The following is a 5,663-nucleotide window of genomic DNA, read 5'->3' as shown; positions in this document are numbered from 1 at the left end:
GAACACTCAGTGGTGCTGGAGATGTTTGTCACACTTGATGTAGAATCTCGTTTCATACAAAGGCCACAGGGGAGACAATTCCCAATTCAAAAGCATTTAAAACAGTATGCATGTAGGCAGTCCTTGCAAATGTCACCAGCTAATGACAATAATCCGTCCTGTTTCTGCAGGGCCTTATAATACATGTGCACTTACATCTCTATCCTGCCTGCAGCCCCTTCAAGACACCAGGAGACAGATTGTTAGGTCCGTTTTGGAGAGAAGGAAATGAAGACTCAAGAAGGTCATGATTTCTACAAAGTCACAAAGCAGGCATGTCTCAGAATTGGGATAAAAACCTACGTTGCCTGAGTCTTGGCCCACTCTTTCCTTCAAATCCTTGGTTGTTTCTGGGTGCCAGGCGCTGTTTTAGATATTAGGAACACAGCAGCAAACAACTGTCAATTTACAAGAGAAGGATCGTTGGTCTCTGAACTTCATAAGAGGACTTAAAAACAAATTGCAGGCCAGGCGCGGTGGCTGGCCAGGATCGTGAAACTCCGTTGCTACTAAAAATACAAAAATTAGCTGGGCGTGGTGGCGTGTGCCTATAATCCCAGCTACTCGGGAGGCTGAGGCAGGAGAATCTCTTGAACCTGGGAGGCGGAGGTTGCAGTGAGCCCAGATCGTGCCATGGCACTCCAGCCTGGGCAACAAGAGCAAAACTCTGTCTCAAAAGAAAAAAAAGTTGCAGCCTAGCAACAAAGTATAAGCCATGAGGAGAATCCTTTTACCATTTCTTAAGCTTTCAGACCACCCCTTTTGACACAAAGGATGCACTTATTCCTGGGATTGGCCTGTTGGGTGGGGTGCAGTTTTAAACAGGGGGCTCAGGTGACATTCAAACAGAGGCCTGAAAGTGGAAGAGGTGAGTCACACAGAATTCTTAAGGAAGAGCTTCCAGGCAGAGGGAACAGCTGTCACAAAGACCTGCCATGGAAGGGCCTAGTGTATCCCAGGAAAGCACTGAGCCACCTGCTGGGGGACCTGGAGGCCACAGTCTGACCTCGGCTCTTCTTCTGACCAAGACGAAGCCATCAAAGGGCTTCAAGCTGACATGTGCTATGATATTTCTGACATCTTAACAGGGTCACTCTGGGAGATTTCCTTACAATATAAGTTGTCAATATAATCCAAGAAAACAATGGCCCAGAGGAAAAGAGTATTACATGACTATTACTGTAGGTCTCACAGTGAGGTGACAATCACAAGCACTGTCTGTGGGGTGCCTGCCATGGGCCAGGTAGTTGGCAGGGGGCTTTCTTTACCCACAACATTTCATCCCGTCCTTGCCGTTGGCTGCATGATGTATTTATTATTATGCCATTTTACAGATGAGAAAACTGAGACTCGAGTCCACAGGCTAACCAGTGGCAGCCTTGGGCCTTCACTCTACGGCCCTTCGCCTCTGTTGTGAGCACGTGCACATCAGTCAAGGCTGAAACGATCCTTTCAATGAAAGAAAATGTGATATTTGGTAAAGTGCCTTGAAAGAAATACTCTCATAATAAGAATTGGTAAATGTTGTCTAATTAACACATTGGCAGTGTTCTTCATGTCATTTCTACATGCCGTTCAACCTGCAAATATTATTTTTTAAAATTAATCTAGTAATATTTAATACTTTTTAAAGGGAGCCTTTGATTAACTTTGGTCCCATCAACAAACACTAATTGCATTAAGCTTTTTGAACAGCCTTTGTAAATGTAATCATTTGACTTCCTTAATTGTCTGATTAACAACAACGAAAAATCTTCCCAAGTACTTAAGTAATAATTCCTGTAAATATAACAAAATCTAGACATATAATAAATTTTAAATTCTCTTAAAATATCAACATAAAATTATAGTCTACATCAACTTTTTAGCTCCACAGTTTAAGTTAGAATTACAAGTTTGACTGACACTCCAGCACACAAAATCCTCTTAAATGTAACAAATAAGGAAAAGGCCAAATATCCACAGATTACCTCCTAACCCCAAGATATCAGAAATAGATTTGATTCATCTTCATCATTTCTACACTTAATGCTGTCTCTTTTCAGGATTACAAGTCATTTTCCCACTAAAAAAAAAAGATTCCGAATAAATTTGGAGTTGAATTTTCAAGTGAATTTTTGGGGCCTCCTTACCAGCTGGCCGAGGTTGCATCATGAGCAGGGATGTTAGCTTGGGTGCAGGAGTTAGAAGTAGAGAGGTCAGGATGATTTTTGTTGATTTTGTACTTGCTAAGTCACTGTCTTGCAAAGGTCAGCTCCTAGTCCTGGCCCCTACATTCGGTCATATGTCACCTGCTTCTGTACACTTAGACATGCCTGCAACCTTGCCAGGTCTCTGTAGCACATGGCTGGATTTAACAACATCGTTTCTGGTCTAATTCTATTCTAAATTCTTTTCATATTCTGCACATTTGCTGCAGCTGTAACTTCCAGCCACTGCTCAAAGATGAAGATGGGGCTTAAAGCTAGACAGTGGAGTGAGGCTAGCCAAGGTCAGAACTGCAGAGATGGCAGGTGTGTATGTGCTGGGTGAGGCCAGCTTGTTGAATGTTGCCATGGCCCGTCCTCCTCATTCGCCTCTGGGAAACACAGGAGGAAACTGCACAAACAGAACCTGTGTGCATCTGAGCAGCTGCATCCTCAGAAAGATCTGGCTAAGGCAGTGACATCATGAAACTGGAATTTCTTTCACTCTGGAGGAAGTGAAAAGAGCTGCAAATGGATCTTTAGGGACTGGTTATTATTCCCTGTTTTAATGGACATTTCTTTCATCTTAAAGTGCATTAAAAAATTGACGTGGCAATATAAATACCACCTTCCCCTCCACCTTTTTTTTTTTAAGCAAGATGTCTCTTGAATTTGTATTTGTTTTGCTACTTAAAACCAAATCTTTAAGGAAAGCCAATGCAAATGCAAGCTCTTCAGTGCTTATGGTCACTCAGTGGACTCCTTAGTTCCCAGCAAGCTCTAGCTGCCCAACTGAACTTCTCTTTGTGGGTTTTCAGAGGGCTGGGGAATGGAAATGGGTTGGTGTGGTTCTCCAGTTTGCTCGTTCTTTGCCGTATGGCAGGCTTTTCACACACAGATGGGCTGCTGAATGTTCTATCATTGCAGACTTGCCTCCAGACCCAGGTATATTTCAAGAGCAGAAACCATTGGCACAATCACCCCTTATTCTGTTTGTGGAAGAAAGTTGCCATCCACACAGAAAATTATAGTTTTGGCCGGGCGTGGTGCCTCACAGCTGTAATTCCAGCACTTTGGGAAGCTGAGGCGGGTGGATCATGAGGTCAGGAGTTTGAGACCAGCCTGGCCAACATGGTGATACCCTGTCTCTGCTAAAGATATAAAAAATTAGCCAGGCGTGGTGGCATGTGTGTGTGATCCCAGCTACTCGGGAGGCTGAGGCAGGAGAATCACTTGAAGCCGGGAGGCGGAGGTTGCAGTGAGCCGAGATCACACCATTGCACTCCAGCCTGGGCAACAGAGCAAGACTCTGTCTCAAAAAAACAACAGAACAAAACAAAAATTATAGTTTCTATACATGTGGGTTTGGAATTTGAACAAGTTATTTTATTCTGGGAATGCTTTATCATCGCCTAAAATGACGACTTCTTTCCTAGTTGTGATTTCTCTTTGCCACGTTACCAGGAGGCACAGAAGGCACAGGGAGGAAAGTTCTGGGTTTTCCTCTTGCGAAACTGAGAAGCCACATTAGGGATGAGGCAGTCATCTGAGCCAGCATCTTGTCTGGAAATAATTATGGCTTGCTCACAAAGCTGTGGAAATCTGCAATGCAGAGAAATACAACATCCTTGCAAACCCAAATAAAGGGCAGCAAATCCTTTTGGACACAGCTGTGCCTAAGACTCCCGGAGTGAAAGGAGCAAAATTGTACCTATGACCCACTGTGTCTATTGGAAACCCTAGAATCAATGTCATGTTCATCACCCTGTTAAATGGCAACAGATTTATGAGGAGAGAAGCTTCCAGAAAGACTGCAGAATTATCTTTTTTGGTGCAGTTTGGGACTTTAATTCTCAAAGGATTAAAACCTGTCCAGGTTCTTCTGGTGTGTTCCTTCCGTCTATACAAGGAGCATGTGATTCTTTAAAAATGTTGACTTTGCAGATCCCAATAGTTAGGTGGGAAATTGAGACACCAGAGAGGCATGAGGTTCCTCATTTAGTCTGGACTCAGTTCCTTTCCTAAATTAAAGGAAATGTACCATGCTGCTGACTTTGTGAGTTTGCTTTCAGTGCATGCTATGTGTGAGGTTGGAGAGAGTATGGGATCAAGCAGTGTTGGGAACAGGCCCCCCCGCAAAATCTGGCCATAAACTGGCCCCGAAATTGGCCATAAACAAAATCTCTGCAGCACTGTGATATGCTCGTGATGGCCATGACGCACATGCTGGAAGGTTGTGGGTTTACCGGAATGGGGGCAAGGAACACCTGGCCCATCCAGGGCAGAAAACCGCTTAAAGGCGTTTTTAAACCACAAACAATAGCATGAGTGATCTGTGCCTTAAGGACATGCTCCTGCTGCAGATTACTAGCCAGAACCCATCCCTTTATTTCGGCCCATCCCTTGTTTCCCATAAGGAATACTTTTAGTTAATCTATAATCTATACAAACAATGTTTATCACTGGCTTGCTGTCAATAAACACGTGGGTAAATCTCTGTTCAAGGCTCTCAGCTCTGAAGGCTGTGAGACCCCTGATTTCCCACTTCACGTGCTGTATTTCTGTGTGTGTGTCTTTAATTCCTCTAGCGCCGCTGGATTAGGGTCTCCCTGACCGAGCTGGTCTCGGCAAAGCAGTGTGACCTGTTTGCAACATCTGACTTTTCCTCTCTATTGAGCCCAGCACAGGGGCCAGCCAGAGCTCACAGTCCCAGCCTAGTAGGGATTGGCTACACAAGTCTTTTGAAGAACAAGCCCAGATGCATATTTATTTTGAGTTGCTCAAGAAACTCGGTTGATAAAATTGCAAGTGTGAGAAGTGAGGCAGGAGAATCTGTAGTTTTATCTCAGTCTTCTCCTGCCACCATGTGTGTTGGAGAAAACAAGTGCACAAGAAACTGGGGCTGGGGGTTCACCAGGGGTGAGGGAATGGGAGTTGGTGTTTAACGGGTACAGAGTTTCCATCTGGAAAGATGAAAAAGTCCTGGAGAGAAATGGTGGTGGTGGCTGCACGACACCGTGAATGTACTCAGTGCCACTGAACCGTCCACTTCCAAATGGTTAAAGGTGGCAAATTTTATGTCCTGTGTATTTTAACATGATGTTTTAAAAACTTAAAAAGTAAGGTAGTGGGAATCTGTAACTCAATTAGGCAAACTCTAAGATGACCCTGCGAGTCCTTCTCCTGGAGCATGTTCTCGAGAATCTCCCCTTGAGTGTGGACAGGACTTGACGGTATTTCACTCCTGTGATTAGGTTACTTATTAGGGAAAGATAAAGGGATTTTGCAGGTATAATGAAGGTCCCTAATCAGTTAACTTGGAGTTAAGCAAAAGGGAGATTTCCCAGGGTGAGCCTGCCCTAACTAGGCCCCTTACCTGGGGGCTTCCTGAGGAGAGATTTGAAGCAGCAGAAACCCCCTCCCTTGTCCCCAAAGATT

Source organism: Homo sapiens, chromosome 6 (genome assembly GCF_000001405.40).
Source record: "Homo sapiens chromosome 6, GRCh38.p14 Primary Assembly".
In the NCBI taxonomy this organism is placed as follows: domain Eukaryota; kingdom Metazoa; phylum Chordata; class Mammalia; order Primates; family Hominidae; genus Homo; species Homo sapiens.
The sequence above is the reverse complement of the archived record's forward strand: the minus strand, read 5'-3'. Positions refer to the sequence as shown.